This window comes from Homo sapiens, chromosome 10 (assembly GCF_000001405.40).
Source record: "Homo sapiens chromosome 10, GRCh38.p14 Primary Assembly".
Classification (NCBI taxonomy): Eukaryota; Metazoa; Chordata; class Mammalia; order Primates; family Hominidae; genus Homo; species Homo sapiens.
The window spans coordinates 80,206,413-80,224,222 of NC_000010.11; the positions used below are offsets into that span (position 1 = coordinate 80,206,413).

Here is a 17,810-nt window from a genome sequence, read left to right on the forward strand (position 1 = left end):
TGGCTTGAAGACAGGGCTTCCAGACTAGCCTGGGCAACATAGTGAGACCCAGTCTCTAAAAAACTAAAAATAAAAAATTCAAAAAATGAGTAAAAATTGAGATTCACTCTTCCCTCCACTCCCCCAGCCCACTCTTAGGTGTGTCCTTCCAAATATCTCTCTTTAACACTGTGTGTGTGTGTTTACATAAACGTATTGTTTACAAAACGATATTGCAGTACTTTTCTGCAACATGTTTTTTTACTCACTATATCTTGGAGGGTCTTTCCATACAAGTGCTCCTGAACAGACCTGGTTCTTCCCATCCACTGCACACTGCGCGCCATCGTGCGCTTCACCATTCTTCATTACCTAGCTCCTTACTGAAGGACATTTAGGTTGTTGCCTATGTTTGGCTGTTACAAACAAGCTGCTGGTTCGATTTTCCTTTTTTTTTTTTTTTTTCTGAGACGGAGTCTCGATCTGTCGCCCAGGCTGGAGTGCAGTGGCGCGATCTCGGCTCACTGCAACTTCCGCCTCCCGGGTTCAAGCGATTCTCCTGCCTCGGCCTCCTGAGTTGCTGGATCTACAGATGCCCACCACCACGCCCGGCTAATTTTCATTTTTAGTAGAGACGGGGTTTCACTATGTTGGCCAAGCTGTTCTCGAACTCCTAGGCTCAAATGATCCGCCCGCCTCGGCCTCCCAAAGTGCTGGGATTACAGGCGTGAGCCACCGCGCCCGGCCCGATTTGCGTTTTAAAGTCGCTCTGAACAATAAAATCCGGAAGGACTGGAGGGGAGGCTCCGACCTTCTCCCTGTCTGGGCAGGTGTGCTGGTGCCGGGCAGGAACGGTGCCTTGGGACAGCCTGGCCCCGGCCTCACAACGGGCCCCGGGCGCTCAGTCATATTCCGTGGCCGCTCCAACACCCCCTACCCCCACCAGCAGGCGCGGCTCTCTTTCGGGGCTGGACTGCATTTTTTGGACATGAGTCGGCGAGTGAGGGTGAAACTCAGGCCAAAGTCTCCAGAGCCGCTCGGAGAAAACGCTGCCTGGAACAGAAGAGCAGAGGATCAGAGGCACCACCAGAGACTCTCAGAGTGGGTTATTACCCTGGTGGGGGCGCCTGCTGCGGCGTAGGAGATGGCGGGACTGGGGGCGCGGGTGTGAAGCCCCCAAGAAATCTGTGTGAATTTCCTGGGGAGGTAAGGTCTCCAGGCGCTCTCTCTGGGCCCGGGGATTGGTCCGGGAAGGTCTCCTGGCGCCTACCCAGCCCCCACTGCCTGGACGCCTGCGCCTGCTCTGCCGCCCCACAGCGACCGCGAAGGCCAGCTTCTTCGAAAGGCCCATTTTTCTCCGTGGCTGAGCGAATGCTCCTAGAATACCACGTTTATAATAAATCATGTAGGGTGGAATTCCTGCTGGATGTATACACCTTTCTGCATCAGAGCTCTTCAAACCCAGAATGGTGAATAGCTACCCCTGGGCTTACCCTTTTATAATTTTCAACAAACCTGCGTTTAGCCCCGGCTAGGTGCCAGCAAGTTGCTAGGGACTGAGGAGGCTCTGCAGAGGACCCGAGCTGAGGCCCTAATCCTCAAGGCCAATGGCAGGGGTCACCGCCCAGGCACCCCCAGAGAACGCGGTGTGAAGGAAAAGACACCAAACTCGGTGTTCAAATGTGTGGGATCTATTCTAGTTCTGATTCTGACACTTGCAAGTCATGCATCCTCCGAGCCTCGGCTTTCTCACCTATAAAATCTTCAACGTGACCTATAAAAATCCATAAAATCACCCCTGCTTCATTGTTTCCCAGGGCTCATAGAAACATCATACAAGGTAAGGGAAGGTGAGTGCACTGTAAAAAATGGTGACGTGCTATATAGCTCTGAGTAGTATGGTATATAAGCTTCCTTTTTAAAAATTTTAATTTTAGGGCCAGTGTTGGGATTACGGGTGTGAGTTACCGCACCCGGCCTCTTTTGTTGTTTTCTAATAAGTATATATGACTATCATTTCCCTCAAAAGTCTGCTTTAGCTGAATATCACAAGTTTTAATATGCTATGCTTTTGTTATCACTTAGTTATACATATTTGGATTTTGTTGTTGTTGTTGTTACAGAGTCTCGCTCTGTCGTCCAGGCTGGACTGCAGTGGCAAGATCTCAGCTCACTGCAACCTCCACTTCCCGGGTTCAAGAGATTTTCCTGCCTCAACCTCCTGAGTAGCTGGGATTACAGGTGCACGCCACCACACCCGGCTAATTTTTTAATTTTTAGTAGAGATGGGGTTTTACCATTTTGGCCAGGCTGGTCTCCAACTCCTGACCTCAAGTGATCCACCGGCCTCAGCCTCCCAAAGTGTCGGGATTACAGGCGTCAGCCACTGTGCCTGGCCAATATTTTGTTTTTTATGTTAGGATTGTATGCTTAATTCATGGATTATTTAGACGTATATTTTCCATTCTTTTTTTGTTTTCAAACTTCAGTTTTTTAAAAAATAATAATAATCATTTGGGGAGGGGCCCAGTGGCTCAGGCATGTAATCCCAGCACTCTGGGAGGCCAAGGTGGGAAGATCGCTTGAGATCAGGAGTTTAAGACCAGCCTGGGCAACACAGTGAGAGCCCCTCTACAAAAAAAAATTTAAATAAAAATAAATCAATCATTTTGTCATTGATCTCTAACTTTAATGCTTGGAGATGAGGAAATGTGTTCTTTTAGAATTTGTTAATGCCTCCTTTGTGGCCTCATATACAGACTTTTTTTGGCTGTCCCAATTTTTGTGAACGTCTCTTCACTTTTTATGTGGTTTTTTTTTCTCTATATCTCTCCATCTAGCTTGCTAATCAGGTTATTTAGATCTTTTATCTCCTGGGTTTTTTTTTTTTTTCTCTCCTGTTCAATCCATTGATTTCTGAAAGAGTAGGTTTAACATTTCCCACTTTTATTGTAGTTTGTCAATTTCTCCCTCTAATTTAGTCTGATTTTGCTTTATACTATTTTTTTTGGTTTTTTGATTTTTGTTTAAGAGGCAGTGTCTCACCATGTTTCCCAGGCTGGAGTACAGTAGCTATTCACAGGTGTGATTATAACTGCAGCCTCAAACTCCTGACCTCAAGCCATCCTCCTGCCTCAGCCTCCTAGGTGGCTGGCATTACAGCCATGTACCACCTCACCCGGCCAGCCTTATAATTTTGAGAGCAAATTATTAGGCTTATACAAATTAATATTGTTTTATCCTTTTATGACTTATTCAGTTTTATTACTTTTTGTATAAATATTGTTATCCTGAGATAGCATTTGTCTAGTATATGTTTTATTTCTCCTTTTTTACTCTTTCTGTATTGTTACTTAGGTTTATCTCTTGGAAATGACATATTGTTTTTTACAAGATTTAAAAAGTTCATCTGAGTTTCTATTTCTAATTTGTGAGTTTAACCAGTTCACATTGATAAGAATAACAGAAATATTTGGGTTTATTTCTGCCATCATTTGTGTTATACATATACCCTTGAAATGGATATTCATCTAGAACACATTGATAAAATCCTATAAATTATTACAAACTGGAATTCTTCCATGCTGCTTGGTAAATAGCTGCTCACCTGAGACCCCACAGTGCCCCCACTCCTGACCTTCTTCTGATCTGGCAAAAAAGGGTCAATGCTTCTCACAGGGAGACCCTCTAGGACCTTTTCTAAGATTCTAATTAGTCAGCAAACAGGCTACACCAGTGGCTTAATATTTCAAATATCATGTACAATATGCTTTCTTGTTGTTTCTTTTTTCTCTTTCCCTGCATTCGTTTGGATTGTTTGAATTTTCTTTAATAGGAGGGAGGTACAAGAATTACAGATGTATCAATAAATACCAGCCTACTAGTACCTTTACCAGAATATCCCTCAAAAGCTCAAATTTATCATGTCAAGAAATGAACTTTTTCTCTCTAAACCTGCTTTTTCTCCTGGGTTCTGTCCCCCGCTGGGGTACCACAGTCTGACAAGCCATTCCAGCTAGAGATCTGATAGCAGCTGGATTTCTGTCTGCCAGAATCATTTTTCAAATGCTGTCAATAGAGACGGATTCACCAGGAAACTGCAAGGCCCCTTGCTTGCATGGGCTCTTTACAAGGTCCTGGTGGGAAAGGCTTTAACAATGTTTGACATGGTAATATGTTTTTACAGACTTTGCAAAAGTAAGCGATTTTAAGTGCAAATGCAGTCATGCGTTGCTTAATGACAGGGATGTGTTCTGAGAAATGCATCCTTATGTGACTTTGTTGTTGTGCAAATGTCATCAGGTGTACTTACACAGAACTAGATGGTAGAGCCTACTATATGCCTAGGCTGCCTGGTATAGCCTATCGCTTCTAGGCTACAAGCCATTGCAGCGTGTTACAGTACAGAATATGCTAGGCAATTGTAACACAATGGCAAGTACTTGTCTATCTAAACATGCCTAACCACAGAAAAGGTACGGGAAAAATATGGTATGATAATCTGAAGGGACCATCATGGTCCAGCTCATCTGGCTTCTGTCCTGGGGAGGCAGGTGGAGGCAGAACCCCCGCTGCTAGCCAGGGAAGAGCTGCTAGTCCTTCCTGCCCCTGCCGCCTGCCTGTCATGTGCCCCTGCCTGACCATCATGGTCCCACATGGTCTGTCATTGACTGAAATGTCCTCGTGCAGCACTTGACTGTAGTTAAGATGGCTGGCTCTTTCCACTCTGATTTCCCCTCCATCTCATTGCTCCTCGTGCCCCTCATGTTGGAATGGTCATAGGCATTTTTAGGATCTGGCTTGGGATGAGACAGCTTTATGTAGTTTACAGTCACTTCTGTGTGTGGTTGCATTACCGCTAGTCTTCCAGCGTAGGAAGGGCTTCCAGGAATATTGTTCTGATTCAGCCAGCAGGGTCGGAGATGATATCTAAATAATAAACATTTCCCCAGCACCTGTTTTCAGAAATATGTCAGCAGTGGAGGAGAAACAAGTATGGAGCCAGAAACTAGTCTATGGAAAACTCTCTCCCCCATCATATGTATAGAGTTTTAAGCATGTACGGCTGTTCACATCCATGCCTATTTAAAATGGAAGTTCTCTCCTGTAGAGAACATACTCAATAGTGCAATATATACACTTATAACACACACATATAAATATGTCTTTTTTGAGCAATTTCAGTAAATGTATTTTGTTAGAGCTCCTGTGTAGTAAGGCAGAACTAGAGGAGTATTGCAAATAGAAGTATGCTTTTGTGTGAAATGAGATGTCTTATGCATCTCACTGTATCTGATTGCATCTTAGCTTGTCTGATATATTTTATTCCAATGAAGTCCACAAGTTCTAGATGTCTCGCCTCTCTTGAAACATCGCATTGCTTGTGTCCCCTCGCCCTACCCTGTGGTCTCCTGTCTGCACACCTTCGCTCGGGCCGTCTCCCCAGCCTACAATGGCATTTTCTCCTCTTTTCACTTTGGCTGCTCCTACTCATTCTCCAAGATTCTGCTTACTTCTTATCTTTTCTATACATTCTCTGACTTCCCTTTTCGCGATAGTGGACTGAGCACATGCTGCCATTTCTCCACCCAGGCCCATCCTCCAGGAATGACAGGGAAGGAAAAAAATTAGTGTTCTCAAAAAGATAACAGGAAATGTTCAGAGAATCAGAAGCACTGACACGTTTCTGAGAAGCCAAAAGCAGACAGGATCTGATTTGATACTGCAGCCCAGCTCATGAGCAGCAGCCAAGGACATACTATAGGTATACTACAGTATATACTTCAATAATGGGACCAGCAACAAGGCATTCCACACCCAGAGGTGGTGAATGCCTGGAACAAGACTCGGGACCAAAGGGCTACTGACAGAGGGTTAAACAAGTATGCCCGTGGAAGGAGCTAGATGAATTGACCCTGAATATCTCCCTCAACCCCACCCCGGCAGACAAGATGACCAGGACAGCAGTGTCTGTCTCCTGGTATGAACTGTGTTAGGAATGAAAGACAGGACAGGGCCCCATATGGCTGGCAAAGCCAAGGAAGAGTTAAGTAGCAGCCACATCCCAAAGACCAGCTGTGAGAGCACAGCTGGTCCACCTGATAGTGCCTCTGCCTGTTCTGCACTCTCCTTGAAAGCAACATGGAGCACAAGCTCATCCAGCGATTTCCAGCCCTCCCTCACAGCAAGCTAGGCCAGCAGATTTCTTGCAGAAAATTTCATGGGTAAAGATGAGTTCCCTGTCAAAAAATATCATTTGAGAAGCACCACCATGAAAGGGAGACGTCCACCTGAGGAAACATAATAATCATAGCTAATATTTACTGAGCATTTATGTGTCAGGCACTATTGCAAACATAAAGTGGGACTATTTTATGTTTGCAATAGACACATGAATACCTTACAAGAGTCCTGCCTTATAAGAGTTTAAGGTAGGACTATTTTTATTGCCATTTTACAAACGAAGAAACTAAAGTGTCAAGTGATTAAGTAACTTCGTCCAAAGTCACATAGCTTAACATGAGAAGCCACAGATTAACCTCAGCTGTCTGGCTCCAGATCTGGAGATTAAACAGAACAAATAGACAACCAGTAATGTGCTTTGAAGTAAGTATAATGAATATTCTCAAATAAGAAAGGATAGGAAAGAATCAATTAGGGATGTCAGAGATGAACAATGTGTTCATTTTGTATTACTGATCATGGGAATAAAAAACAAAAAATATATTCATAGTTTAAACAAATAAAACCACCTGAGTGGATGAGCTATGGAGTGGAATGTATGCAGCTAAAGAGCTGATTAGTGAACTGAAAGATTGGAATCCTCCCTGAAAACAGCAGACTTGGATAAATAAATAGAAAGTAGAAAAGAAAAGATAATAGACATGGAAGATAGTTCCAGAAGTGCCAACATCCACCCACTGGGTGTTACCAAAAGAGAGACTGCTAGAGAAATGGATGTCCAATGAAACATGGTTGATTTGCAACACAAATTTATTTCCTCTCCCTCCCCAAATCCTAATAAAATGGCAGTAGAGGAAGAGCACAGGTAAAATCCTTCAAGGACAGTAGGGACAAGAGAGGAGAAAACAGCAACCAAGAATTTGGACACGTATTTTGGAGATAGTATACAAAGGAGTGGTAATTTGGCAGAATGGTGCATGTTCTCACTTGGATGCCCCAGAGGGAGAAAATAAGAAGAAGCCAATAGATTCTCGCTACTTCACCCCCAGAGTCTAAGAAAGGATCCACACTTAAAGAGGTGAGGTACAGTGTGAGGCTGTAAACAGGAAAACAGAGGCATAAGTGGAAACCCTAGGCCACTTTCTCTACCCTCTTCAGCCAGGGGTCCCCTCCACCCAGGGGAGAAAGGAGAGTTATTTGTCATATAAATTGAACTGAAGAAACTGTAGAATGGGAGGTCTGAGCCACACAGGTTTGGGAGGAGGAGGTAAGGACAAGTTTAAACACAAGGATTAAGCCACAATCTACATATTGAATGATGGGACCCCAGTCCACAGAGAGTGAGTAACCTAATTTACAATCTATAGGCCAGAGTCCGGAGGATTCATTTGTGGAGAAAAGGAATGTCCCACACAAAGGGCCTCCAAGTGGCTGATGTGTGCTGGTTTCCTCAATGAGGAGCTGACCTGATGCTCAGACACTCTGTGGTGAGCTCCGTCAGTCAAAAAGCCCCGCTCCCCCACAGAGACTGCAGTCAGTGTTTTGTGCCTCACCCCCAAATGTGAATACACAGCTAGGGGTCACCACCTGGGAGGAAGGCCTCCAGCAAGGGTGACCAACCTTCCTGGCTTGCCAGGGACCGAGGGGTTTCACAGGACATGGGACAGTCAGTACTACTATGGTTTGAGTTTGTCCCCACCAAAACTCATGTTGAACTTTGATCCCCAATGTGGCATTGTTGGGAGATGTGCCTGGTGGGAGGTGTTTGGGTCACAGAGACAGATCCCTCATAAATGACTTGGTGCACTCCAGCTCTCTCATGAGAGTGGATTTAGTTCTCGTGGGAATGTTCCTGCAGGAATGGGTTGTTGTAAAGCCAGGATGCCCCTCAGGTTTTGTCTCTTCCCACGTGTCCACTCACCATTGAGATTTTCCACCATGTTATGACATAGCAGAAAAAGCCTCCACCAGAATCTGAGCAGATGCTGACACCATACTTTTTGAACTTCCCAGCCTGCAGAACTGTGAGCCAAATAAACCTCTTTTCTTTATAAATTCCCCAGCCTCAGGTATTCTTCTATAGCAACACTTAATGGACTAAGACAAGTACTAAAATAAGAAAAATCTCTGCCAAACCAGAACGAGTTAGTCGTCCTATTCTAGCATGTGCAAGCAACGTCCATTTGCATGGCTTTGCTTAATAATTTGCAAGCCTGACCTATATTCACAGCTCACAGGCTGAGAACACAGTCATCTGCTGTAATTTATATAATCTTGTGACAACACCTGCCAAAAATCATATTAAATGGCTTGTGACTTTTCTTGATCCTCTTCCAGCCTTTGACACAATATATAAGGAAAAATATGAACTATCCTGCTTGTAATTTCCAGTGGGTAAAACAAAGATGTGTCCTGGATCCTTTTATTTTTAACTTGAAACCATATTGAGATATCCCATTAGTTTGCTTTCCTACTGACCCACATAACTGTTAGGCACAGTGCAGGCTATTGACCAGTGTCAGCTACAAAGGATCAGTATCTGTGCCTGCAGGTTGTTGTATACGGTAGGGCCCCGCCACCCTGCTCTGCAGTGGAACACAGAAGGTCAGGCATTCTCTCAGATGCAAATAACCTGATGTGGGTATCATGGACTAGGAGTAGTTTTAGTAGACAATGAATACTGCTATCTAATGACCTCCAGAAACAAGGGCTACCAAATCTGGATCTGAAATAATCATTTTAATGGAAATACCCCAAATTTAGGGAGATTTATAGGAAATAATGATAAACAATAAATCATTTAGTTACTTTGGGTGCACACTTCACAACCAGTTTTAACAGGGCTTATTGCTCAAAATTAGATGGACCGCAGGTATGTGTGTGTGTGCACATGCCTATGTGTATGTGTAGCCAAACAAGATATATAGTTACATGCCTGCTTTACATTTTTCCTGGGCTATTTTTATTGCCATTGCATTTTATGATGTGGAATTGTAGGGAATCAGTTACCCATTCATTGCCCTGTTAGGGAACTCTCAAATTTCCTCCTGAAGAGAATCTTGGCTCTGCCTGCAGGGACTCCCCTGATGCACTTTGGAGGGGATGTGGGTTGGCCTTCTCTTCAGAAACACGTTGACTTTCCTCTTTCTTTCTCTTTCTTTCTTTCTTTCTTTCTTTCTTTCTTTCTTTCTTTCTTTCTTTCTTTCTCTCCTTCTTTCTCTCTCTGTCTTTTTCTTTTTTCTTTTCTTTCCATGTGTGAGGCAAAGATTTATTTCTTCATTTCTTGCATTTGAAGTACTGTTCGATGACATCCTTGGCCTGAGACTCCTTCCATAGTCCTTAACTACTGCACAACTGCAACCAACCACTTTACAGGGTTTCCCCTCTCTGTCAATTGTACAGGGGCCTTCCCATTCCCCTAGTTTCTTGTCGTCGTCACCCTTGATTAGGTTGATTTGGTGTTCAGCACAATGGGCCTTCACCAACTTGACATACATAGGCTTATCACAGTTGGATGCAAGCACACAAAGGTGGGCTTGGCGCTTGGCGGCAGCAGGGAAAGAGAGGAATGTTCTTTCTGGTGCATGAGTTTTCATACGAGGATCTATGTCAAGCCACAGCTCAGTTTGTTATTAAGGTATATGGCTCGTCTCTTAATTGGCAATGGAAAGTTCCAGCATTCCAAGTAGAATCTCAACCTCAGAGCCACACTATACTTTTCAAAAGCTTGGCTAAGAGAAATGCTACTCGTGGATAAGTGCCTGGAGAGTGCATGCTGTATTCAATCCTCTGGACAAATATTCTTAAATCTATTACCAATTTAGCCAGAGCCATGAACCTGTGAGCTTGACTGCTTCCCACTGACTCCTTGAAGAATGACTTTTAATGCTTTGTGCTTTGGTTGAGGGACATGATACACATTATACAAAGCATGGTTTTGAACACTGATCCCCAACTGTTGCAGGGATATTGTTGAGGATGTGGCTTCTCTATGAAGCCTCTCTATGAACACCTAGAGGAGAATATGCTCTTTGGTCCTCAGTATCTGGAATAGTTGTGCTTTTTCCTAGCAACCTGCAAATATTCTGGATCTCATAATGTGTCATATATCCCTCTCCCCATCAGCAGCTAGGGTCTTAGAGCCAAATCAGTGAACAACCATGAGGCCACACAAAGAGGACTAATCACAGTTGGTGAGGTAGAATCAGAGCCTGGGGTATAGGCAAGACACCGTAGTGGCTCGATCTGCCATGGGCAGATCCAGATGTTGAGTGTCAGGGAACCCCCTCCCTAGGGGAGGGTTTGCAATGAACATGGATCCTCCAAACCACCCTAATGCAGGTGCCTGTAGGCCATCACTGCCTCTGAGGGTTAGGGTTGGGGTTAGGGTTAGGTACGTTAGGGTGATGACATGGCACACCTGGTCCTATACCTATACCCTTCTCTCCAGCTCTCTATCCTTTACTAACACACATGGATGGCATTGTTGGGAGCAGCAGGAACTGCATGTGAGTCAAATGCCATGTGCTTTCCATTGTTTCAGCCATCACAGTCCCCAGGGGTAGGTACATTCACACCCCAAAGTTCACTTCTATTATGTCAGCCAGGGAAGCAGTATACTAGACATTAGCAGTGTGGGCTCTGGAGTCAGGGGGCCAGTTTCAAATCCTGCCTCCATCTCTCACTAACTGAGAGGCCTTGGTTGAGACATTTAGTCTCTTTATCTATAAAACAAGAATAAAACACTGCTTACAAACACTGCTGTGGCAGGAAACACATTACATAACCACTGTGAACCATTTAGAACAGAGCTTAACCCAGCAATAAATGCTACAAATAAATATATTGTGGTGGTGAAGACTTTGGTTTTTGGAATTGAATACACCTGGGTTCAAATTCCATCTCTTCCAGGATCAACTGTGAAAACTTGGGCAAGTTTCCAACTTCATTAATCCTCACCTTTTCCAACTGCAAAATGGGGCAAATAGTGCATACAAAACTCATGGTCCACTGCTTGAGATGAAGTGTGTGCTCCATAAGTGATAGCTTTAGCCACTTGTTATTTTACTGCTATACCAGAGAGAATGCAGCTCAAGCTAAACAGGCAAGAGGGAATGTCTAAGGTGATTCTGCAGAGCTGCCAACCCTATGCAGCAACTGACCTCCATCTCCAACACATGGTAGTAACAGCTACTTAAATGGATTGTGTTCTATGTTCTAGGCAATGACCTGAGAGTTTTTATATTTTTGTTTTACCTGGGACTAGGTATGGTGGATCTCAATATTTTGGGGGCCACAAGTACTGTATCAGACTGGTTCCAATCAAGGGATAGAAACCACAAGTGGTTCATGCAATGGAAGTTTAATATAAAGAATTATTCAGCTATGATAAAAGAGCAACTATATGATGCAAAGAGAACCTTATAGGGCTACTCTCCCTACAGGTGGAGAAGAGTACCCAAGAAGGACAAGCTTGGAATGGGGCCCCCTCCCCAGGCTGGAGATCAGACATTGTTGGAGAAGGTATCATTGCAGCCCCCTACATAGCAGAGAGATTTGCTGAGTTGCATAGTCTAGAGCTGGTTGCAATTATTGGACAAGCAGGAAACAAACCTCCACAGCCCATGCGAGCCACACTGCTGGGTTGAGTGTATGAGCATGTAGAATGATTGGGTCTCCAGTGCGGACAGAAGGCATGGATCGCGTGGTGCCTGTGTTGGGAGGATACTAAGAGGGCGATCACCATGCCAGGACAAGACTAGTTGCCTGGGATCTTCTGGGCACGTGACTGGAGCAGAGTACCACTGGATCTCCTCACACCAGCCAGACCCAGGAAGAGAAGCTCCTTTCACCTGCACTGTTCTCTCAGCACCCTCCACGGAGAAAGCTTCATGTTATGCTTAGTGTACAGGAGAAATGCTCATGGGAATCCTGTCCATTATCACAGAGCAGGTATTAGTGGGTGAATATGGAGCTGAGAAGTAATAAGTTGTAACTGGCATAGATATCATGGGGATATTTGAAGAACGCTGTGAACACATATGCATGGGTCCATGTATTCATGAGTGTGCACATATGTGTAATTATTCATACAATTCATGGTGGATACTACTTCGAGGGTGTTCACAGACCCCAGGCAGAGAGCGCCTGGAGGGAAAATTATCCAAGGCAGGCCCATTCATAGTTCCAGGACAGCCAGAAGAAAGCCTCCGTTAAGCACCAGAAGTCTCCGGGGCAGGTGGGGCCAGGCAGCATGAAAGAATTGGCCGCAAGAGTTCCAAACCCTGTCCCAATTATGGAGGGTGACTTTTCTTTGTCCTCCTTCTCCATTCCCTTCCATATTGCTCATGCATCCAAAGGGAGACCTGAAGACTCTCTAGCAGGGCAAGGCCATTTTCTTTTGGCATTTTTCTCTCCCCAGAGTCTAGCTGATTATCAGCTTAGACACACAGCAGGCTATGTGCTGTGAACAACAGGCATCCTGGGTTATTTTACAAACTCATGGATAGTCATTTTGAAACCACCTTTGCAAAATTGTGACTGAAACAGTGAAAGAGAGCTAACTTAACCAGCTCCATCTTGTTTCTAACCTCCAAGCTGTCTTTGTTCATTCCTGGGCGTAGGCTGAACTAACTTTGGGAGAAACTTAGTTTGTAGTTATAGTTTAAACAAAGACTGTGACAGCCCTTTCCCAATGCAGACCTCCTTCTTGTCTGGGGACTAGACTAACATTAGCCACAGGATTAGAAATTACGGTTTAGGAGTCACGCAGCTGGAGGCTACAAGATTCTGACCCTCCCTAAACTGCTTCTAAGATCAGTGCTTGAGACATGTTGCAGACCCCGCACTTGCTGGATCAGCTGACGCCACACAGATGGATAAACTGCCTCGTCTGATCTTGTGGCCCCCACCCGGGAACTGACGAAGCGCAAGAAGACAGCTTCGACTCCCTGTGAGTTCATCCCTGACCAACCAGCACTCCTGGCTCACTGGCTTCCCCCTACCAAGTTATGCTTAAAAATTCTGCTCCCCGAATTCTCGAGGAGACTGATTTGAGTGATAATAAAACTCCAGTCTCCCGCACAGCCGGCTCTGCGTGAATTACTCTTCTTCTATTGCAATTCCCCTGTCTTGATCAATCGGCTCTGTCGAGGCAGCAGGCAAGGTGAACCCCTTGGGTGGTTACAATTTTGCTCCTTCAACAAAACTCCAAGTTCCTCTTTGATAGTGGCAAACACCAGTTGCCGTATTTTCTACTGTTACTGGCACAAAAAGTCCCTGTTCACAGCCCTGCTGGACGTAAGGGCCCAGGTGCTAAAAAGTTACCCCCCACCTCACCCCAGCCTCATCAGCGGGGCTGGATACTGGCAGTGGGCAGAGGAATGAAATTTATTTATTTATTTTTCTTATTTATTTTTGAGATGGAGTTTTGCTCTTGTCGCCCAGGCTGAAGTACAGTGGCACCATCTCAGCTCACTGCAACCTCCGCCTCCTGGGTTCAAGCAATTCTCCTACCTCAGCCTCCTGAGTAGCTCGGATTGCAGGCTCCTGCCACCACACCCAGCTAATTTTTGTATTTTTAGTAGAGATGAAGTTTCACCATGTAGGTCAGGCTGGTCTTGAACTCCTGACCTCAGGTGACCCACCCGCCTCGGCCTCCCAAAGTGCTGGGATTACAGGCAGGAGCCACCAAGCCCGGTCTTTTTTTTTTTTTTTTAACATGTCATGTTTTTATTGTACTGTACTGTACTGTACTGTACTGTACTGTACTGTATTGTATTGTATTGTATTGTATTATATTGTATTGTATTTTGAAACAGAGTCTCACTCTGTTGCCCAGGCTGGAGTGCAGTGGAGTGATCTTGGCTCACTGAAACCCCCGCCTCCCAGAGTCAAGCAATTCTCCTGCCTCAGGCTCCCGAGTAGCTAGGACTACAGGCCATGCCCAGCTAATTTTTGTATTTTTAGTAGAGATGGGGTTTCACCATGTTGGCCAGGCTAGTCTCAAACTCCTGACCTCAGGTGACCCACCTGCCTCGGCCTCGCAAAGTGCTGGGATTACAGGCTTGAGTCACTGCACCTGGCGAAATTTATTTCGTTAGATTCTCAAAAAATGTATGACACATGAGTGGGACTTTCTGCCTCCATCCCACATCTGCCAGAGTAAGGAGAGAGTCCAGGAGCTAGGAGTATTCAGGGTAAGACTCCCCCTCCCTCGGCCACATTGTCATTGTCAGAGTGAAGAAGGCCCCTGGAACTCCATGTGTTCCTGGCAATCCCTCCTTCCTCCCCCACCATAGACACCCCCCAACATCGTTATTTTCCCTGAGAGCATCAGGACCCGTCTTCTTAGGGCCTTTATCTCGATATGCATCAGTCACTCCAAGAAGCTCAGGCCCCTAAGTCATCCCTTCCCTTATCTCCTAGGCCTGAGTCCACATATAGCTCTATGTGGCTCTCTCCACCACTCTCTAGCCTTCATTTTTCCCCTTAGCACATACATCACCTGACATACAATGCATTTGACTGACTTATTTCTTAGTCTCCCCTGATTGAGGGTGGGGTGTTCTGTCTCTCTTGTTTGACCACTATACCCCCAGGATCTACAAGGTGTCTGGCATGTAGCAGGGACTTAATAAACGTGGGTTGAGGAATGAATGAACAAACAAAAGCATCTTTAGTGTCCTCTGTTCTCTGGACCTCAGGCTCCACTGCAGCCTAGTTAGTCTTGATCTTCAGGCCTAAACAAGGCCCAAACCACAGGCCTGCTTCCATACTGGCTTATCCCACCTATCTAGCAGTTTCCCAGGCTGGGCTTTGGAGACAGGTGGGCTTGGATTTGAATCCTGGCTCTGCATTATGAGGCTTTTAACACCCCATTTTCCTTATGTGTAAAACCAGAAGGATGCCTAACTCCCAAGAATATGGTAAGTGAATTAAATGGAAGGTGTGTGTAAAGAGCTCAGCACAACTCCTCCAACACAGTAAGTGCACAATAAATGTGGCCATGAGGGAGGCAATAGGGCAGGGTGAGGAGGAGCAACAGGCTTCCTCTGGTGACATCTCCTACGAGTTGGTAGAGGAAACCTGGCGCACTGTGCACAGTGGATTCTGGTCAGGCCCTGAGCTCAAGGGGAAAGAATCCCATGATTGATTACTGATGTCTGTCATGCACGTGCGGGCCGGGTGACAGGGTAGGGTGAAAGAGAGTAGCAGCCCCAAGCCATACGTTTGCCATCCTGATCTAGAATTTCCACCATTGCTCCTTTTCTTGTGCATGTCTTGACTGTTTTTAAGGGTGAGAGCTCCCCTGTTTTCAACAGCTCAGTTCTGACTCCGTAATTTCTCACCCACCCCAGCCCTGAATGGTGCAGTCTGCTCCTCTGAGCCCCAACACTCTTTTCTCTGCTGTTCCTTTATTATTTACCATGTAGCATTTTGGTTTTTAAAAATCTTTCTGGCCTCCTTTCCACACATATAGGCAGAACATGCCTTCAGGGTAGATTTCACCTTAGAGAACTAACGCAGGAAAGTGCACAGAGTTGCAAATCAGAAAATCTGAACTTGTTGTGAATTTGAGCTCATCGCTTTGCCTTTTGGAGTCTGTTTCCCCAGCTGAAAAGCAGAGCCCTAAGATGGCTTTGCAGCCCATGGTATCCCAGGGCTGTGGTGAGAATCAGCATTTCACTGGGCTCTGTGGAGAGGAAAAGCTTTCATGTTTGGCCAGTCGCGGTGGCTCACGCCTGTAATCCCAGCACTTTGGGAGGCCAAGGTGGGCGGATCACCTGAGCGTCAGGAGTTCAAGACCAGCCTGGCCAACATGGTAAAACCTCATCTGTACTAAAAATACAAAAATTAGCCAGGCATGGTGGCGGGCGCCTGTAATCTCAGCTAAGCAGGAGGCTGAGGCAGAAGAATCGCTTGAACTCACGAGGCAGAGGTTGCAGTGAGCTGAGATTGCGCCAGTCTACTCCAGCCTGGGTGACAGAGTGAGACTCCATCTCAAAAAAAAAAAAAAAAAAAGCGTTCATATTCTCATTGCATGTCCATGTACCCCCTCCTGCCACCAGGTCTCAAACTGGAGCTTCTGCAGATGCTCAAGATGCTTTTTCAGCAAGGGGGTAGTAGGATGAGGCTTCCAATGGGAGCAGTGGGCATTTGGCAGGCATTGACAACAAGCAGAGTTCGGAGAATGGAAAAGAAAAACCAACTTTTCTCGCCTTAAACCGGCAATTGCAAAGTTGAGAGCTAGGAAAGCTAAATGCTGCCACCTGCCGGTCATTTTCTACGTTAGCAGCATCAAAGTAAACAGTTTTATAAAGCTCTTGTTTATTTTTTATTATATTTTATTTTATTATTATTATTATACTTTAAGTTTTAGGGTACATGTGCACATTGTGCAGGTTAGTTACATATGTATACATGTGCCATGTTGGTGTGCTGCACCCATTAACTCGTCATTTAGCATTAGGTATATCTCCTAATGCTATCCCTCCTCCCTCCCCCCACCCCACAACAGTCCCCAGAGTGTGATGTTCCCCTTTCTGTGTCCATGTGTTCTCATTGTTCAATTCCCACCTATGAGTGAGAACATGCGGTGTTTTGTTTTTTGTCCTTGCGATAGTTTACTAAGAATGATGATTTCCAATTTCATCCATGTCCCTACAAAGGACATGAACTCATCATTTTTTATGGCTGCATAGTATTCCATGGTGTATATGTGCCACATTTTCTTAATCCAGTCTGTCATTGTTGGACATTCGGGTTGGTTCCAAGTCTTTGCTATTGTGAATAATGCCGCAATAAACATACGTGTGCATGTGTCTTTATAGCAGCATGATTTATAGTCCTTTGGGTATATACCCAGTAATGGGATGGCTGGGTCAAATGGTATTTCTAGTTCTAGATCCCTGAGGAATCGCCACACTGACTTCCACAATGGTTGAACTAGTTTACAGTCCCACCAACAGTGTAAAAGTGTTCCTATTTCTCCACATCCTCTCCAGCACCTGTTGTTTCCTGACTTTTTAATGATCGCCATTCTAACTGGTGTGAGATGGTATCTCATTGCGGTTTTGATTTGCATTTCTCTGATGGCCAGTGATGATGAGCATTTTTTCATGTGTTTTTTGCCTGCATAAATGTCTTCTTTTGAGAAGTGTCTGTTCATATCCTTCGCCCACTTTTTGATGGGGTTGTTTGTTTTTTTCTTGTAAATTTGTTTGAATTCATTGTAGATTCTGGATATTAGCCCTTTGTCAGATGAGTAGGTTGCGAAAATTTTCTCCCATTTTGTAGGTTGTCTGTTCACTCTGATGGTAGTTTCTTTTGCTGTGCAGAAGCTCTTTAGTTTAATAAGATCCCATTTGTCAATTTTGGCTTTTGTTGCCATTGCTTTTGGTGTTTTAGACATGAAGTCCTTGCCCATGCCTATGTCCTGAATGGTAATGCCTAGGTTTTCTTCTAGGGTTTTTATGGTTTTAGGTCTAACGTTTAAGTCTTTAATCCATCTTGAATTAATTTTTGTATAAGGTCTAAGGAAGGGATCCAGTTTCAGCTTTCTACATATGGCTAGCCAGTTTTCCCAGCACCATTTATTAAATAGGGAATCCTTTCCCCATTGCTTGTTTTTCTCAGGTTTGTCAAAG

The 17,810-nt window shown here is 44.9% G+C and overlaps 1 long non-coding RNA gene and 1 pseudogene across 1 annotated transcript, besides 4 other annotated features; one reads left to right on the forward strand and one right to left on the reverse strand.

The window, feature by feature from the left end:
• Positions 123 to 764: an enhancer, noted in NCBI's record as "H3K27ac-H3K4me1 hESC enhancer chr10:81966291-81966932 (GRCh37/hg19 assembly coordinates)". NCBI's record gives its function as "activates a minimal SCP1, AML or CMV promoter by ChIP-STARR-seq in naive H9 embryonic stem cells {active_cell/tissue: H9 hESC(naive)}" and the evidence as "EXISTENCE:reporter gene assay evidence [ECO:0000049][PMID:30033119]".
• Positions 123 to 1,734: a biological region, named in NCBI's record as "MED14-independent group 3 enhancer GRCh37_chr10:81966703-81967902".
• Positions 535 to 1,734: an enhancer, noted in NCBI's record as "MED14-independent group 3 enhancer chr10:81966703-81967902 (GRCh37/hg19 assembly coordinates)". NCBI's record gives its function as "activates an origin of replication core promoter dependent on BRD2, BRD4, P300/CBP and CDK7 cofactors, and independent of MED14, by STARR-seq in HCT116 cells {active_cell/tissue: HCT116}" and the evidence as "EXISTENCE:reporter gene assay evidence [ECO:0000049][PMID:35650434]".
• Positions 765 to 1,406: an enhancer, noted in NCBI's record as "H3K27ac-H3K4me1 hESC enhancer chr10:81966933-81967574 (GRCh37/hg19 assembly coordinates)". NCBI's record gives its function as "activates a minimal SCP1, AML or CMV promoter by ChIP-STARR-seq in naive H9 embryonic stem cells {active_cell/tissue: H9 hESC(naive)}" and the evidence as "EXISTENCE:reporter gene assay evidence [ECO:0000049][PMID:30033119]".
• Positions 1,298 to 13,245, forward strand: LINC00857 (long intergenic non-protein coding RNA 857). The gene is made up of 2 exons (NR_038464.1): positions 1,298 to 1,819; positions 11,607 to 13,245. It is a non-coding gene; the product is annotated as a long intergenic non-protein coding RNA 857 (long non-coding RNA).
• Positions 9,417 to 9,710, reverse strand: RPS12P2 (ribosomal protein S12 pseudogene 2; annotated as a pseudogene).
• Positions 13,246 to 17,810: the final 4,565 nt, after the last annotated feature.